Raw genomic sequence first — 20,071 nt, forward strand, 5'->3', positions numbered from 1 at the left:
TATAATGTTGATGTAGTTAATATTTCTGGAGTCCAAGAGGAAATCTCCCAAGATCCTACCTAACTTTTTGCAACTAAAGCAGCATATATACACAGGGTCTAGGAAATTGTCTAGACTGGGGAGTACACATGCCAGCATTTTTCCAGAATTGTCAAAACCTAAGGGTCATGTGTGAGGAAAAGTGTTGTCTTTTTTATCTGCTTCTTGTGGAGAGTGGAGATCTGTATTGTTTCTCTCTCTCTCTCTCTCCCCCTCTCTCTCTCTCTCTCACACACACACACACACACACACACACACACACAAGTACAGTAATTCATCCTTATCCAAGGCGTGTATTTTCTAAGACACCCATTGAATGTCTGAAACTGTGGATAGTATGGAACCCTATACATCCATGCTTTTTTTCTTCTATAAGTGCATATTTGTGATAAAGTTTAATTCATAAATTAGGCACAGTGAGAGATTAACAGGAACTCATAATAAAATATAACAATAACAATATATTGTAATCTCAAAGTTAGGTGAATATGGTCCCTCAAAGTGTCTTGTATTGTACTCGCCCTTCTTTTTCTTGTGATGACTGTGAGATGATATAATGCCTATGTGATGAGATGAAGTCAGATGAATGAGGTAGGAGTTGTCATGTGGTGTTAGGCTACTAATTATTTCTTGCTGTCTGACCACACATCAGAAGGAGGATCATCTGCTTCATGTGACCCTGGATCATTGAGCCATGATAATGTTGATGGTTGGGATACAGGAACAGACCATTTTGATGACTAATGGGCAGATAGCATATACAAAGGGATGATTCATGACCTGGATGAGATGGAACAGGATGCCTTAATATTTCATTGTACTCCTTAGAATGACACATTATTTAGGACTTATGACTTGTATATTTCTGGAATTCCACATTTAATATTTTTGGACTATCATTGACCATGAGTAACTGAAATCACAGAAATTAAAGAGACCCAGATTTGCAACTGGTGTGTGAGGGAAGTCTTGTGAGACTGAGCACTCAGTCTGTGGGATCTGAGACTATTTCTAGATAGACAGGGTTGGAATTAAATAGAGGACAGTCAGCTGTTTTTTTCTACAGAATTCATTGCTTATTTGTTGGTGGAGAAAATCCTCCACACATTTGGTCGCAGATGTCTTCTGTTTTAATGATTTTGGTATGAGAGCAGAGGGAAATCATGTTGTGTGTGTTTCTTTCTACACATACAGCAGATAAGAGACTACTGTATACTCTGTTCTAACTGCTTCTAGTCCATTTGTCTAGAAATTATACTTTCTAAGTTTGACACTGTCCACTTATACTAATTCTGCTAATAATACAGTTTTCTGTCAGTCTTATAGGGTTCTGTTTGGATGATGACTATTGTACACTGTAGTTCACTTGCAGAGATCAAATTGTGATAAATTCCATTTTTCCTTGCATTTGAGAACTACAAAGGAGGGGAAATAAGCATTCTTAATGCATTAATTTCCTACCAATAGTATACTTAATAATAATTTTACTATAGTCTCAACGTATGGTCCCAAAAGAATGCTTTGTAACAAATCATCTGAGTCTTTGTAACAAAGTGTCAGAGTATTATGCTTTTTAAACCAAGACCTTAATCATGCATGAAAGTGTGCGTGATTCTTTTAAGTTAAGTTGAAGTCTTGCAATGTCTCCCAGGCTGCTTTCAGACTCCTGGACCTCTCAGATGATCCTCCTGCCTCACCTTCCCAAGTAGCTGGGATTACAGGCATGTGCCATCGTGCCCTCTTATGTTTTTAATATTCTGTATTTTTTATTTATATTTGTTGATTTAATGTATTTTACTCTTTTCTTTAATAGAGGATGTGAGTTCTGTAGAGTCCACATTCAGGTAAGACTTTGCGGTTTTTTAAAACGTATATGTTAACTCAGAAAATATAGAGAAAAGAAATCACTATCTGCTGAGTATTCTACTCTGGGCTAGACAACGTATTATGTGCTTAATATTTATCATCTCACATAGTCATCACACAGCTTTGCAAAGCATCTGTGCTACTGTCACCTACTTTGTATTAATCAGGCAAATGTGATTCAGAGAGGTTGATTAATTGGCCTATGATGTCATAGCTAAAAAGTAGCTGACCCTTGAGTTTGCCATCTGCTTACCTTGCTCCCTAATCCCTTCCCTTCCCCCTTGGCATAGATTGATGGAGACCTGTGGATCACTAGGATCAAGGTACAGGACCAGATGGGATCAATTCACAAAGTCACATTTTGTTATATGTTAACTCTTTTTAGAGATTTCCCATAGAACATTGATTAATCCAAGACTTTGTTCTAACATGTTTAACCGTTAAAGTGGTAACCAGTACCTTGTTTTTATCACCAACGTTTTTAGAGCAGATCTTACTTAGCTGTGGCCACAAGACATAGGCTTTTGTTTCATATGCAATACCAGGTAAATCCTATAGATGGATTATTTCACTCTTAGTGGAGAATATCTACATATAGATATGTTAATCATATTTAGAGGCTATTTCTTATAGAATTCTCTATTTACTGACTTCTTAGTTTAGTTCTTCTTCAAAGCAGTCCCCTCTTAGTTGCATGCACTCTTCATTTTCTTTTCTAGAGTCTTTTCTCTTCTTTCATGACTTATTTATAATCTTTTCCTGATTACTTTCTTCTCTGCTTTCCTTGGTGTTCTTTTCTTCTATTATTTTATTTCTTTCTGCCAGCCCCATTTTTCTATAGCTAAAATTAAAGCACATGGAATTTTAGGATTTTAAGGACTCTTGGAGACTAATCAAAATACTTTCATATTTTAAACTCTATTTAATATCCTGGAAAAATTGTTGTTCACATGGAGAATCTGAAACTCAAAATGACTTATTTAAATATAAGAGGTAGCAGAAGTAATATTTAAACTCATTTCAAAGCCCATTACTCTTGTTTTTATATCATCATGTAAGTGAGTGTTTGAATAATAGAAAGGAAAAGGGGATGGATCTGATTAAACAAATGGAAAAGAATAATGGAATTAGCTGGAAAACCCAGTAGAAGTAGATAAGAATGGAATTATCAGGGAAAGGCCAAGTTTGAAGAGAAACAATCCCAGGATTGGTAGGAGTAAGGGTTTTACCAAAGAGATCAGAATATTGGATCTTATGACAAGTTTGATGAAGATAAATTAGAGGACCAAAAACACAGAAGACATTGGGAGTTATCTAGAAAGGCATACTAAAATAGGGTTCAAAGAAGTCCTGAATAGATTGCTGCTTTTTTTGCTTGTTTAATTGGAGGAATGGGCAAACTTCAAGATTTCTATTGAAAGATTTAGAAAAAAAGACCAACTCAGAAAAGTCTCCACAATCAGAATAGAAATGTCCTATTCTGTTCTTTCACCCCAAATCTCACAGGAGTGGCTTAGAGCCCCTTCAGTGCTAGGGGATTGAAGGTTGCTGAATTACATAGATCTGTGGCCTAAGGCAGGTGTCCCCTCCCGTTTGCCTCTTTTTCCAAGCCTCTGATGTCCTACCCATGTACATGTAAAGCAGGGGGAAGATTGGCTGTCAAATTAGTCATGGAGCTTCAGTTGGGTTTTTGGTAACATGACTGAGACTCTGTTTAGTTGTTTTTCAGGAACAGGTAAATACAGAGCTTATTGGTTGGTCATTGAGTTTATCTTTTCAGTAATCTGTGCTTAGATGAGCTAAATATTTAAAGGTTGGAGACTGCCATGAAGCTCTGCAGAAGAAAGATCTGGAAGTGGGAGACACTTTCACTATATATAGTGGCTCCCACTTCCAGATCTTTCTCTCTGTATATATAGTACTTAGAGAAATCCAACTATCAGGACTCAGTTTTTCTAGCAGTCTCTCTCCTTGGGTATAAGTACCTACGAAGATTTTTAAGGCTTTGCTAGTTTATGTAGACCTGAACAAGGAAGGAAAAGTATAAAATAAGTAGTTAGACTTTCTTACTTTTAATGTTTCAATTTTTGTGAGAAAAATATTCCCAATAACAAATATAGATTTGTATTTTGACATTTGTAGGTTCAGCTTTTCAACATTTCAGATATTTCAGGGCACTCTCTTGTAGCGTTTTAGGGTGAAGGGAAGCAACAAGGCCTTTTTAAGTGGTTTTTATGCTGAAAAACAAAGAATGTCATTTTCCAGTGACACAGATTAGTCTTTGAATCAGAGATAGACAATGGATAAGGGACAAGGTAACTGTACCTTTCTTCCTCATTTTAGGTTATCAAGTTTGTTCCAGTTTAGATATCAAAAGTTATGTCAGCCATTAAGTACATTTTCAGTTCATCATAGAGGACAGCTTGTGAGGACTAATTATACTCAGGGTATGCCAATTATATTGGCGGTCACTATTTTTTATGGAACTAAGAGTGAGTGTTCATTGGATGTTACAGGTTGGAGAGATAGAGTCAAAAATAGGTAAATGCAATCTTTTTTAAAAACAGAGGGGCCGGGCGCGGTGGCTCACGCCTGTAATCCCAGCACTTTGGGAGGCCGAGGCGGGCAGATCACGAGGTCAGGAGATGGAAACCATCCTGGCTAACACGGTGAAACCCCGTCTCTACTAAAAATACAAAAAATTAGCCGGGCGCAGTGGCGGGCTCCAGCCCCAGCTACTGGGGAGGCTGAGGCAGGAGAATGGCATGAACCCCGGGAGGCAGAGCTTGCAGTGAGCAGAAATCGAGCCATCTCACTCCAGTCTGGGCGACAGAGCGAGACTCCGTCTCGGAAAAAAAAAAAAAAAAAAACGAAAACCAGATGGCATATTTTAATTATGCCAAGAAACATGATTTAATATATTGAGGACTGATCTTTCCCCAGATTTTGTTTTTTGTTCTCATTTTTTGGAGTGAGCACTAAGATATGAACTGGCAGGTTTTCTTTTTAAATATATGAATTTGCTCATTTTTGTTTTATCTTTTTTCTCTAGTCTTTTTGGCAAACCGACTACTGAAAATTCACAGTCTACAAAAGTTGAGGAAGACTTTAATCTTACTACCAAGGTAAAATAGTCTCTTGTTAAATTGATTTTCTCAGTTGGAATCTAATTCTGTATAGTATTTACTTTTCATGTTTAGCAGTGGTGTATGTATCATAATTTCATGTTGGTAATATAAAGTTGGTCACATAAAAACATTTTATAGAAATATGAGTAGTTGATTTAAACAGTTTTTTTTTTGTTTTTTTGTTTGTTTGTTTTACTTCAGTAAATAACAAATGATTGGTAAATACTCTGAGGGTGTGAGGGCCAAAAACCGGAATGGGCTGTAGAAATACATAGTGACAGGAACATTATATTAGAAAAAACTTTTCCACAATAGAGAATATATAAAATCTGGTAAAGGTTTCTTTGCATAAGTAAACTTACTGTGACTTTTAAAATTATTCTATTGTAACTTTAAAAACACCTCATCCTTAAAATTATCTTTAATGGATCCAGTTACTTATTACAGTAATCAAGGAATCTGTCTGATAAACTTCAGTTCTGAAACTGTGCCACATAGCATATAGGTTTTTTTGGCGCATATTATTTTGATATCATGTAGTTTTTAGGAGAGAGCTTTTTATCAGTTTCTCTTCTTGGTTCTTTAATTAAACACCAAAATAATATTAGAAATTGTGAAAATTTATTTGGGCATGATGGTGCATGCCTGTAGTTCCAGCTACCAAGGAGGCTGATGCAGGAGGATTGCTTGAGCCCAAGAGTTTGAGACCAGTGTGGGCACATAGCGAGACCTTATCTCTAATTTTGAATATAATTTAGAAATTTAGAAATGTAAATTCTCTTTCTCAGAATCTGTATTATTAAGGCATGTGAGGATGTTTTCTAAGTTATTTCATTAAAAGTATACTTTAAATTCTTCAACTAAATGAAGAATGCAGGTTTCACCCCAAGTAAAAAACCAGTTCTGGAAGCAGAGACTCTTAATAAGCATATGGTAAGATTTTAATTTCAGAGTTTTTAAATTGCAGTTTTTAAACATATTGTTCAAAGATCTTTGATCACATTTGAAAATTTTAAATTTCAGAAGATTTTGTATTTAGTTATTTAAATAATCGTTTTGGAGCTCTTGCATCACTATGAGATACTGCAGGTTAGAAAACATACTTGTGTGCATCCTAGTGTACCCAGAATACAGTCTTGCCTGTAAAAAGCATTTTAAGCGGTTTTCAATGTGAATAAATAAGCAAATGAATTTTTATGTAATGGAATGTTACAAGTAAGATAATATGCATAATATACCTTATAATTAAATCTAATGCGTTTCTAAAATATGACTTAAATTTATATTTTCTTTTAATATTTAGAATGCATAAATTAATGTGCGTTATCTTGAGAAAATATGTCATAAATAAGAAGACAATAAATCAGAGATATGTAGTAAATAGGAAAGAAGATTACACTATATTTTCTAGTATCCCCAAGTGGAGTTCAGATTTTAAAAAATTTAATATATTTTAGTCTCAACTCATGTTTTGTTTGTTTGCTTTTTGTTTTTTTGAGATGGAGTCTTGCTCTGTCGCCCAGGTTGTAGTGCAGTGGCGTGATCTCGGCTGACTGCAACCTCTGCCTTCTTGGTTCAAGTAATTCTCCTGCGTCAGCCTCCTGTGTAGCTGGGACAGCAGGTTCATGCCACCATGCCCAGCTAATTTTTGTATTTTTAGTAGAGACAGGGTGTCACCATGTTGCCCAGGATGGTGTCGATCTCTTCACCTCGTGATCTGCCCTCCTAGGCCTCCCCAAAATCCTGGGATTACAGGCGAGAACCACCGCGTCCAGCCGAAACTCATGTTCTTTTTTTTTTCTTTTTTGAGACGGAGTCTCGCTCTGTCGCCCAGGTTGGAGTGCAGTGGCGCCATGTGGGCTCACTTGCAAGCCCCACCTCCCGGGTTCACACCATTCTCCTGCCTCAGCCTCCAGAGCAACTGGAACTACAGGCATCCGCCACCACGCCCAGCTAATCTTTTCTATTTTTAATAGAGAGGGGGTTTCATCGTGTTAGCCAGGACGAAACTCATGTTCTATTAAACATATCTTTTCAAGGAATACATTACTCTAAAATTCTGATTACCAATACTTTCTTCAGGTGAAAAGTTTATGAAACATTCATTTTTAAATTTTTTCTCTCTCTGTAGTAAGAATATTCTCGCTTTTAGGTGTTGGCTGAAGACCATGTTTAACTAATTGTCTTATTATGTAATATTAAAATTAAAATCTTTATTACACAAGTATTAACAAAATAACAAATTGTAGTGTAAATACTGATCAGCAATATTATTAACAAAAGTCTGTATTATTTGTATTTCATCACATGTCTTAGGGTAGCTGTTTCTCCTTTTCTTTCACGACTGAAGCTCATGATTGACGCATCATGGCTCTTGTTTGTTTCTTCCGCCTCCTTCACCTTTTAAAAAATGATTTACCCCAGACTTTTTTAATCACAGAATACATTTCTTCAGTGTCTGCTTTTGAGGGCATCTCTGTCTCAATTGTCAGCATATTTATTTACAGGTCTCTATTTAGTTGCTATGTATGATTTTCATTACTCAATCATTGCCCCCCGCATGATTTATTCTTTTTTCTCTGTTTCTTGGAAGAAGCAGAATTTATACGATTATTTATTCTTAGCTTTTTGCCACACAGAATAGAAACAACCTATACCATTTCAATGCAAACCCAGTTAAATAAGGTACTATTAAAAACTAAACTCTCACATTTTTCCATACAAGAGGTAATTAATACAACTGTAAATTGTGAAGAGATATTTCAAAATATAACATGTAATTTTAAAATTTTAATTATTTCTACAGTACTATAAACTGTGTAAGAATAAATTTTTGTCGTAGGTAATTTTGATTAAAAAAAATCTAATGGATACCAACATATTTGTATAATAATAAATTAGATGAAGGGGATAATAGGAAATAATTCATTGAAGAAGGGTAAGATAAACACAGAGACTACATGAGAGAGGATGAGACAGATTCTTATAAAAGCACAGCAAAAATAGTGGTTTAAATGAGAGCAGGAACTCTCTAGAATAAAAGATATGATATAAATTATTTAAAATAAAAATTAAGAAAACATAGCCAGCTAATAAAAGATAGCTCAGGTGTTTTTGAGTGACTTATAGCTGATTTTAATAAAAAGCTGACAGAAAATATAAGGACGAGTATAGGTAGGAGCAATTTGTTGTACTCTTTAAAATACCTAGTAGAGAATAATTTGAATGTTTCTAGCATAAAGGAAAGATAAATACTTAAGGTGATTAATATCTCAATTATTCTGATTTGATTATGTGAATGTATTAAGTGATAATATGTACCCCCAAAACGTACATTTATAGTGTGTCAACAAAAAAATTATAAACAAGGAATGAAAATTTAATTCTTACTTCTTTTAGTAACTTTATGTCTTATATTTAATCTAGTCATACTTATAATTTTGTAGAATGCAAAGTGAAATCTGTTTTAGGCCTTGCCAACTTTATTGTGAATTATTACTTTTTGATTCTTTGGTTTCTGGTTTAAGATTTCTAACTTAATATTTGACATATTCTTAGGTTATTTAACTAATTTATCTTACTCTTTTATATAACCTTGGTAGCTGTTTTGAATATTTTTGATAATAGAGTATAAATAAGCATTTTATTTAAACTTGTTATTAAAATTAAAGTTTCTGATCATATGAACATGGTTCTTAATCTGTCTCTTAAAAGAGAAGAATCACTTTTAAGCTACAACACTGTCAAAGAAATGTAGAAATTATTAATCTCTAGAAATACTCTGACATTTTTGCTCATAATATAGGTATGTAATGGTATTATATACACACATCAAATGAATGTAATCAGTATTTGTCAATTGTTTTAAAGTAAAGTACCTATTATCATAGAATCATACGTAAGGGAAGATTTAACAGAGTAAACAAACTTATCATTGGAAGAATACTTTTTACACTTAAAAGTATCTCTTGCAATGGGGATATTTTATATTATTTCCAGGAAGCCTTATTAACTTTAGTCTTCATAACTATTACACCTTGCACATATATTTGTTTATTTCTAAAACTCAGGAATCTTGTTGACTTGAACTTTTTAGTTTCTTTCTTCACTTCTCCTATGAATACTGAATTCTGCTTGACAATCATAGATATATGTAAAAACTATTAAATCATCAACTTGAATAATTGTTGCTTAATTTTCTTTATATGAAATCTTTTCTCCAATTTTAAACTACCATCCTATATGGTGTAAATAGGCAATTTGAGCTAGTATTATATTGTTTCATAAGAAAAGCATGTGAATTTTAAAACAGAGTTTCACATTTCTATCTCACTTTATAGTAGTACTTAAAAATGCCTTATAATTCTATGGGTAAGCATTTCTCTTGTACAATTAAAAATTTCAAGGTTTTTATAAAGGTCATTTTGCAGAATCTTGTTTTAGAATTAAATGTTTTCATTCAATTCAAAGATGCATATTGCAAAAAATATTTCAGAAATAAATATTTACCTATATAAATAAAATTATATTCTTGAAATAAATTTGGAAATATATAACTGAGAAACTTAATCCCATGTTTTTCTCTCTCCTTTGATTTCATTTTCAAAATTTCAGCAGTCTGCATAGATTTGTGTTGCTTAATTCTACCCATTTAGTCTATCTTATAAATATTTATTTTCTAATCACTATGTAATTTTCCTCATGTAGGTCATCTACTCATACTCCAAATGTATTTATCTAGATCTTTCTTCTAAGCCCCATAGATGCCTCAAATCTTATAGGTCTCAAACTGAAAACATCATTTTTATTTTTTTCTGACTCTTTTCTGACTCTTTGTAATCTACTCTGTCATCTGGTTTCCCCATCCTAGTAAATAACAACTAGGAAGTAGCCATGAAATGCTCAAGCACTTCAACCGGCACTTCAACCGTCCCCTACATCCTGCACTTCAACCCTTCTCCATGTCACCCATCCAGTCACACACCTAATTTTGTATTTTCTGCCTTCTTATAATTTTCCATATCTTATTACCATAATTAACTCTCTACCTATAATTTTGAAGTACTCCTTTCTAGTTTTGCCCCATCTCCCCATGTTCATCTTTACATCACTGGAAAAGTCACCTTTCTAAAATATACTTGTAATGATGTAACTCATCTGCATATTGAGTGGATACCCATTACATGAAGGGGTAAGTTCACATTCTAGGGTGATATATATCTTATATGGTTTGGTCTCATTTTATCTCTTTAACTCATTTGCTCTGACTGTGTTCCAGTTTTACCACATCACTCTGGCATCCCTCAGTGGCCATGTTGTTTCATGCCTTATTATTTTGCACATGCTATTGCACCTAGAGTCTTTGTATCCTGACTCTGCACGTTGTCTGTCCTTCCCAATATGGCCCCATTATGGCAGCATTTTCTAAGCTTTTCAGGTAAAACTGATTTTTCTCTCCTTTGTGCCCTTATGTATTTTATTGACTTAAATTGTAGAACTGGTGAATTTTACTTTTCTGTTCTTATTTGTTTTCACATATCTCTACCATTTCTTGAACATAAGCCAGAATCTATCTTCCATGTATATTTTCTGCTTCTCCCAGGATAGTGCCTATGATTTGACAGATACAAAGTATGTTTTTTGTTGTTGTTGTTGTTTGTCTTTCTGACAAATTGATTGAGTGAGTGAATAAATACAATTTTTTTCTGAAGTTTTTTTTTTGTGTTTGCTTTCTGTGTTTTGTTTGTAATAGGAGGGAGCAACAAAGACAGTAACTGGACAACAGGAACGTGATATTGGCATTATTGAACGAGCTCCACAAGATCAAACAAGTAATGACAATTTTATTTTTTATACCAAAATAATAGAAATGGTAAATTAGTGAATATCTCTGAAAATTTTTCTATGTTTAAATGCTGTTATATAGAAAACAATTTTTTAGCCCAAAATACAATGTCTACTTAAAAAAGTACATTTTGATATCTTTCTTCATACTATCAACTCTTTTTTTTCTGAACCTGCTTCAATTCTGAAATTCTATTTTTGCTATTATTTTTATTTTTGAAATACTCATAAATGGAAATAGATTTGTATATAGTTTTATGATTTACAGTAATAAACATTCTCATATACATGTCTGTGAATAACATTTTGTAGATAAGATGCCCACATCAGAATTAGGAAGAAAAGAAGATACAAAATCAACTTCAGATTCTGAGGTACTGTGTATTGTTGTTGTTGTTATTTTAAAACTTAAGTACTCAGTAATCTTAAAACATAAAAAGATGATTTGACTTTATTCTCTCACCTCTGATTATGTCCATAAGGCGGGTGGATCACGAGGTCAGGAGATCGAGACCATCCTGGCTAACATGGTGAAATCTCGTCTCTACTAAAAATACAAAAAATTTAGCTGGGCATGGTGGCGGGCACCTGTAGTCCCAGCTATTTGGGAGACTGAGGCAGGAGAATGGCGTGAACCCAGAAGGTGGAGCTTGCAGGGAGCCCAGATCATGCCACTGCATTCCAGCATGGGCAACAGAGCGAGACTCCATCTCAAAAAACAAACCAAAAAAAAAGAAATTATTTTCTGACATTTATCAGAACATACTTTATAATCATGTGCCAAGTAGATAACATCTGCATAGTGCAATTCTGCTAATTTGCAGGATTAATTTTGAAGCCAGTGTAGAATAGTGCAAAACAAAATAAGGCTTAGAAGGCATTAGGAATCTACTTGAGTTCTGAAGTTAAGTTTGTCTAAAAACTAAATGATTTCTCCACATTCATTTATGAGCAACTGTATGATTCTGTGTATATCTAGATGTACAAAAGCTCTAACTGGATTCGAGGAGAAAGAGTTTAAACTGTAGTCTTAGTCTTACTCAACTTGGAACTTGAAAAGATAATTCCTGGGACTCTGAAAGTATTGGCATATTTTGATTATCCAGTATAGATCTGAAGGAACATTTCAGGAGTTGGATAAACATGAGAAATAGGACACCTGTAAAACTATAATAACAACAATTTGGTTGAGTAGTATTTTAATAAGTGGACATTTTTTTTTCACAAATAGAACTCTTTGAGTCCATTTATGGCTGCCATGTTTGCAGCCACATAGGTATCAAATAATAATGATGTATTCCAAGGTCACAACTGTGGATGTGGAAGAGATAGCAAAGGCCTCACCAGTTAGGTAGAAGCAGCAGCTGCATAGTGGTAACAGCAATGAGTGGATGTCAAAAGATAAGTCTGTATTTGGTTCTGTCACTTACTAGCTATGGGAACTTGGAAAAAAATCGTTTAATCTAATCAAATACCAGTAACTTTGTTTATAAAAATAGCGCTCATATCTACCTCTTAGTTGCATGTGATGAAATAATGTTGTAACAAATGTGAAAACATTTTTTAAACTGGAAAGTCTGTATACAAATGTAAGACAAAATGATTAAAGTGGCATATATGTGAAAGCAGTATTGTTAGCACAAGAATGGGGAGTAAGAACAGGCATGTGGATTTCTAATTTTGGGTAAGGGGATGGTAACTTTCAGCAGGCTACTACTGCAGATTTTCCATATATAGCAGTTTGGAAAGTGAGACTTTCCTGATGAGATTTTCAATGTTTTGACCTGGAGTAATTTCTTTTTGAGTACCAACTGTGTGCTAGGCAGTGAGTCTCTGAATATCCAAGATGAAAGATTATGCTGCAGTAGTAGGAAGAGAATAACAAATGAAAAACACTTATAAATTACTGTAACTTTTTCTTTAAAACAAAACAGAGAATGTTCCTTAAGAGAAAATTGAAGAACTTTATAATTAGCACGCGTATGGGAGTGGCAGTGGAATTCCATGGTCAGAGTAGATCTTTCTGCAACTGCCATTTAATCTCCCATCTCAAAGATGAGGAGTAAGCCATATGAAAGTCTAGGAGGAAGACATTCTGAACAGAGAGGGCAGTGGACCATATTTGTTCATCATTTTGTTCTTAACAACCTCGAATGACTAGCATGCAGAAAGTGGGGTAACCACCAATGTCATCGTCATCCTCATTTTTCTAAGGTGAAGAAAAGTCTGCAAATATGTGTCTGGCATATGTTAGATGTTTCACGAATACATGTTTTTATTTTTCTCTTTATATGAAGGCTTGCTCTACTTTTCTGAAGTTATGCCTTAAGAACGAATTGCATACTTTATCTAATGATTGTTTGCTTTCATTTAAAAATTACATAAATATAAATTTTCCTTATGAATCTTTCCTTTTATTCAAGCAGTTCTGTATCAGCAAAAAAGATGTAAAATTATTTTCATTATTTTAAGCCCTTGTTTTCCTAAATGAAACAGCTTTTAACAGAGTTCTGTTCCTACTTCGCACGACATACTCTGAAAATTCTCTTCATGCCATGCATAGTTTTTAACCAAAAAAACTATAATTATGCATATGTCAAATGTTTAATCATATTGTATTTTGTTTGAAATGTCCTATTGTTTTTGGTGAGGACTACAGTGTAAGGCAGATACTTTGAAGTAAATTCCTTTTAAAATATGCACGAGTGAATTTTTTTGTGAGTATGATTTATTTTCCTTGCTCAGTAACCTAGTCAATAGCCACATGAAAATAAAAGATAAGCTTGATCTACAGAGCATATTTGAGGTTTTCTCTTGAAATGTTTTGGTTTTCAATATGTGAACAGCCTTAAATCTAATTGCCTTTAAAGTTAAAAAATGTGTTTTAAAAAAGATTTTTAATAAAAAATGTGATGCTTGTCATTATTATTTTTAAATTGAAATTATTTATTGAGGCAGGCTGTGGTGGCTCACACCTGTAATCCCAATATTTTCGGAGGGCGAGGTGGGCAGATCACTTGAAGTCAGGAGTTTGAGACCAGCCTAGCCAACATGGTGAAACCCTGTCTCTATTAAAAATACAAAAATTTAGCCAGGTGTGGTAGCTCATGCCTGTAGTCCCAGCTACTCGGGACACTGAGGCAGGATAATTACTTGGTCTTTGGAGCCAGAGGTTGCAATGAGCCAAGATCATGCCACTGGGCAACCCTGCGAGGCTTCATCTCAGAAAAACAAAATTAAAAAATAGTAAAAAAAGAAATTATTTATTAATATTATCTTTAACAGATTATCTCTGTGAGTGATACACAGAATTATGAGTGTTTACCTGAGGCTACATATCAAAAAGAAATAAAGACAACAAATGGCAAAATAGAAGGTAAGAACCATTTTTTATTTAAAACATCTTTTGTCCAAATGTTTGTCTCAAAGCATGAGGACTGATATACTCTGACAGCCAGAGAAAATTATTTTTTAAATGCATAACATGGAAGAACAAAGGCAGTGAAAGTTATGTGTCTTCTCAGATGTTGGCAACAGATTATATTGAGAGTGCCAAAAAAGAGCTGAATTATTAGTTTAAATTCAACATACTCTAAGACCTGAGGAAAGGAGTAAAACAGGGAATGAAGACTGAGGAAGACAGAGAGTACAGGGAGTACATGAGGGAACAAGAAGCAGGTTTACATAATGGAGAATGGTAAAATAAAAGAACTCTTTAGAGAAAGATAGAGCATGGTTAGAAAGCTGGGAAGAATATAAAGTGACCTCCCATTACCAAAATTTGGCAGAGAATTACAGCAAACATGTTGACAGTCTTGTCTTTCTCACTGGTGGGAAGGCATTAGGGATGGAAGCACCTGACCATGGAGAGTTGTGTTTTATCTGCAGTATGTGAATATAAGCATATTTTCACAGCTGTGCGTGTATATAATTTGTCATATACACTCAGTATAGACGAGAAGTTTTCACACTTTAGAAAATCAGCTGAATACCTTGTTAACAATGCACGCTGTGACTCAGCAGACTTGGGATTCTGGCATTTTTAATAAATTCTCAAGTGATGCTGTTGCTGGTTGTCCTTGGACCTCACTCTTAAGTAGCAAGGGAACAGCCTTTCCTTTGGAAAAATCTGGAAGAAGGGCAGTTGGATAGAAGTTCAAGACATAACAGGGTCAAGAGAAAGCATTATATTGCTTTTATTTCTGAGTATGTTTCTGACCAGAGGGGAAAAAAGAGGTAAAGAAATAGTAATTACAGATGTCAGATACTACCCTAATCAAAGAGAAAGAAAGTGTTAGGAAAATTGATTTTAAAAGATATTGAATGGGAAGAATCAAGACCACAGATGTGGACATTATTTTGGCTAAGGAAGAGGGATTGTGAGGCATGAAATGCAGCAAGAAAGAAGATAGCCAGCCAACTTTGGAGTTTCTGAAAGGAAATTTGAGTGAATTCACTTCAGATGCATTTACAATATTTGCACTCCAGAAGATTAGATTGTGGGTACTCCAGAGACTACCGGAAGCGGGAGGATTACTAGAATTGGAGTAAACCATGGTGACTCATTAGTTTTCTCTATTACTATCAGGCATAAAATGTTTATATTTTGTTGATATTAGCTATTCAAATGAGAGATATTTGAATCTAAGAGCATTAGCTTTATTTTTAATGAAGCAAATTGTTTTGGTAAAATTGTTGTTCTATAAAAATCTATTAGACACTTACCATAATAAACAAAGCCAACTAATTTTTAGAAACAAAAAATTACAGAATTTATTACTTGAATTCTAAAATTGTTTTTTAAAATAAATATTGTCTGATTTAAAAATATAAAATGTTATTTATATGTGATAAGTATGTTGCCATAAATTTTCAAATAAACATATCAATATTGAAAGCTCATTATGCAATATTTTTTAATGAGTTTTATAGTATTTTTTGCATGAGTGAATCAAGAAAATTTCTGAGGATAAACTAGAGGATACAGCAATGTAGGCATATGATTACACTGCAAGGATATGGGAAACAATGAATATTTTATTTAGTATTATCCATTAAGTAAATATCCAAGCTGATCAATTTGTAACATGTTCAGTGATGAGATGTCAGTTCTGCATTCAGCTGAACTCTCATCATAACGGTGTACCATCTCAATTGTAGGACAAATTAAAGAACATGATTAATGTAATGATATAAATTATTCCAGTGTATTTCACTGAATATATGGCGTAGGATTCTATATTCAGCTTTGACATTTATTTTTTCTGGGTCATAATTTGCTCCTCTGATCAAAGATCATTTCTCTTTTCATCACTCAGCATATACATATTAATATCAACACATTTTGCATGCACAACACATTCTCACTTTTGAAGTCTTAAGTGCATGTTTGATGAAGCCTAGATTCCTAGTTTCTTCAGTGTATTTCTGTCATGTGATTGTCCTAAAGAAACATACCGAAAGAAAACCCCCTAAACCTAAAGGAATCATTCTCAAAGCTGAGAAAAAGGACTTAGATACTATCACTGGATTCATTTGTGGCTGGTTTTGTCATATTTACTTATGACTGATAATAAATCTCTTTTGCTTTTTAGAGTCTCCTGAAAAGCCTTCTCACTTTGAGGTATTGAGTTTTATAATTTTATCTTGCATTATTTATTAACTATGTATTTTGTGAAGTACACATTCGTTATTAATCATTTTTCTTCCAAACCCGTTTAGCCTGCCACTGAAATGCAAAACTCTGTTCCAAATAAAGGCTTAGAATGGAAGAATAAACAAACATTGAGAGCAGGTAAATTTTACAGTTCAACTATATTAAAATGAATATTTCAATAGTTGACATATTAATAGTCTCATCTCCCCAATGTTTATTTTTCAAATATTATGGAAATATTTGAGTTAATAATGTCAATAGTGGTATCCACATTTGAAAAACTGATTACTTACAAGAACACGAATTTTAATTAGTTTTTTTAAAAAGTAGCTTTAATTTCAGGTGTTTCCACTTTCACGTCCTCATACTGTAATGTTTTGTATTGGGAATGTCTGTATGACTTAAAGATTCAAGAAGGTGTATTTTTAAACTCTAATATTTTTTTCTGTTCAAAAATTGATTCAAATTCTACCCTTTACTGCAGGGAAAGCTTCAATTTTGACATGCCAATTGTGTTTTAACATTGGTTACCTCATGGGACTGTAGTCATTTGAAGCATCCTAAGGAAATCTGTTGTTCTGATTAGCTTACTTTCTGTGTGTGTGTGTGTGTGTGTGTGTGTGTGTGTGTGTGTGGTGTGCACGTTTGTGCCTGTGTGCATGTATATGTGTGTTTGTGTGTGGTACCCTTAATTTTTAAAAACTGGGAGAAGTAAGTCCCAGCTACTCGGGAGGCTGAGGCAGGAGAATGGCGTGAACCCTGGAGGCGGAGCTTGCAGTGAGCCGAGATGGCGCCACTGCACTCCAGCCTAGGGGACAGAGCGAGACTCCGTCTCAAAAACAAACAAACAAACAGAAATAATAATAATAATAAATGGGAGAAGTAATCATTTCTTTATGATCATTTTGGTAAAACTGTGATTCTGAAGCATTTGGCTTTGTGTCTTTTCATTGTTTAGAGGTAAACAATTGTCTAAACTGGTTTTTTATATTATTCCTATGCATGCTTAAAAATTATACAACATATGTGCACGGTCATAGATAATATGTAGAATTTGTTTTCAACTGCTAATATGTAAATAATTGTACATTGTGTAATTTTCTGTAACATTCTTTGTTTGATCAGCATTATATTGTTAGATCCATCCATAATGTGTAGAATTAACTTTGGTTTTGTTTATATTAGGTTCTTTATAGAATTCCATTATATAACTGCACCACAACTAATTAAAATTTGTTTATGCAAAAAACAAATATATGAAAATAAAAACAAATGAGATATCAGTCTTCATTTAAGTTGGTTTTTACCTACTGATTTTTGATATATTAGAAACTGAAACTAAAATATTTCAAGTATCACTATGTACAATCTTCTACTTTAATAAAAGTGAAAACTGTGACCTATGGACCATTAAAGCTATGCTGTTGTAACACATTATTTCCCTGAAACAGTGCAGTATAGACTTCATAGTACATATGAACTTCATGGTACATATATGACACATTTTCTTAATCCAGTCTATCATTGATGGGCATTTGGGTTGGTTCCAAGCCTTTGCTATTGTAAATAGTGCCACAATAAACATATGTGTGCGTGTGTCTTTATAGTAGCATGATTTATAATCCTTAGGGTATATATCCAGTAATGGGATCGCTGGATCAAATGGTATTTCTAGTTCCAGATCCTTGAAGAATTGCCACACTGTCTTCCACAATGGTTGAGCGAGTTTACACTCCCACCAACAGTGTAAAAGTTTTCCTATTTCTCCACAGCCTCTCCAGCACCTGTTGTTTCCTGACTTTTTAATGATCGCCATTCTAACTGGTGTGAGATGGTATCTCATTGTGGTTTTGATTTGCATTTCTCTGATGGCCAGTGATGATGAGCATTTTTTTCACGTGTCTGTTGGCTGCATAAATGTCTTCTTTTCAGAAGTGTCTGTTCATATCCTTCACCCACTTTTTGATGGGGTTGTTTGATTTTTTTTTAAAACTTGTTTAAGTTCTTGTACATTCTGGATTTAGCCCTTTGTCAGATGGATAGATTGCAGAAATTTTCTCCCATTCTGTAGGTTGCCTGTTCATTTTGTTCACTCTGATGGTAGTTTCTTTTGCTGTGCTGAAGCTCTTTAGTTTAATTAGGTCCCATTTGTCAATTTTAGCTTCTGTTGCCATGGCTTTTGATGTTTTAGTTCTGAAGTATTTGCCCATGCCTATGTCCTGAATGGTATTGCCTAGGATTTCTTCTAGGCTTTTTATGGTTTTAGGTCTAACATTTAAGTCTTTAATCCATCTTGAGTTAATTTTTGTATAAGGTGTAAGGAAGTGGTCAACTTTCAGTTTTCTGCATATGGCCAGCCAGTTTTCCCAACATCATTTATTAAATAGGGAATTCTTTTCACATTGCTTTTTTTCCAGTTTTGTCAAAGATCAGAGGGTAATTTTCACATTTCAATGAATTTGTCCATTTTGTCTAAGTTGTCATGTTTATTCACATAAATTTTATAATATTACCTTGTATTTTTAAGTATCTGTAGAATCTAAAATAATGTCACATTAACTCATTTCCAAAGTTAGTAATTGTAGCTTTCTCTTTTCAAGAGCTAGTTTGGCTAGATAGACTTTTGCTTTTATTGATCCTCTCAAAGTGTTTGGTATTTTTCAACTCTTCCATCATTTTTGTGTTTTATTAGTTCCATCTCTGATGTTTTAGTTCTCTTTGCCTAGTATTTAAAAAATCTATAGTTGGGAGCTTATCAACAACATAAATTGAATTCTCACAATTTTGGAAGCTGCACAGTTCAAGATCAAGTTATCATCAGATTTGATGTCTGAAGAGGTACCACTTCATGATTCATTGATGCATTCTTTTTCCCTGTGCCCTCACATGGCAGAAAGGGTAAAGAGGCTCTCTGGGGTTATTTCTGTCAGAGCATTAATCCATTTATGAAGGGTTGGCCCTCATGACCTAATTACATCCAAAAACTCCTACCTCCTAATAACGTCACCTCTGTGATTTGATTTTGGCATATGAAAATTGCAAGGACAAAGACATTCAAACCAATACGAATATTTATCCTTTCCTCTGCTTCCATTGGATTTACTTTCTTATTTTTTTTTTTTTTTAGCTTCTTCAGGTAAAAGTCGAAGTTATTTACTTGAGAGTCTTCTAATGTAGACATTCAATGCTGAAAAGCTTTATTTAAGTGCTGTTGTAGATGCATTTTACAATATCTAATGTGCTGTGTTTTCATTTGAAGTTAGTTCAAAATACTTTCTAATTTTTCTTTTTACTATTTTTGGAACCAACCCAGGGTTATTTGGATGTTATGTTACTTAATTTCCAATAGTTGTGTTGTTTCAGGTACATTTTTATTATTGATTTTTAATTTGATTGCTTTTGGGTCAGGTAACATGTTTTGTATGACTTAAATCCTTCTTAATCCTTTTACTAAGATATAATCTAGAATATAGTCCTTGAGTACTTCTGAAGAATGGTGTTAAGTCTACCATATTCTTGCTGATTTTCTGCCTCCTTA

At 33.9% G+C, this 20,071-nt stretch overlaps 1 protein-coding gene and 1 non-coding gene across 8 annotated transcripts in view; both read left to right on the forward strand.

Annotated features, from left to right (window-relative positions):
- The window catches only part of ANKRD30B (ankyrin repeat domain 30B), a 192,964-nt gene that overhangs the window by 78,254 nt on the left and 94,639 nt on the right, over positions 1–20,071 (forward strand). For all 7 annotated transcript variants that reach the window (XR_007066151.1, XR_007066152.1, XR_935057.3 and 4 more), the window contains exons 33-39: positions 1,853–1,883; positions 4,958–5,030; positions 10,786–10,864; positions 11,190–11,251; positions 14,163–14,253; positions 16,472–16,500; positions 16,599–16,671. Coding sequence is in view for 3 of the 7 variants with exons in the window: in NM_001367607.2 (NP_001354536.1) it covers positions 1,853–1,883; positions 4,958–5,030; positions 10,786–10,864; positions 11,190–11,251; positions 14,163–14,253; positions 16,472–16,500; positions 16,599–16,671 (438 nt within the window). In the remaining 4 variants the exon portion in view is untranslated. The remainder of the gene's footprint in view (positions 1–1,852; positions 1,884–4,957; positions 5,031–10,785; positions 10,865–11,189; positions 11,252–14,162; positions 14,254–16,471; positions 16,501–16,598; positions 16,672–20,071) is intronic.
- On the forward strand, positions 3,741–3,817 carry MIR3156-2 (microRNA 3156-2). Its single transcript, NR_036153.1, has one exon. It is a non-coding gene; the product is annotated as a microRNA 3156-2 (primary transcript).

This window comes from Homo sapiens, chromosome 18, assembly GCF_000001405.40.
Source record: "Homo sapiens chromosome 18, GRCh38.p14 Primary Assembly".
NCBI lineage: Eukaryota > Metazoa > Chordata > Mammalia > Primates > Hominidae > Homo > Homo sapiens.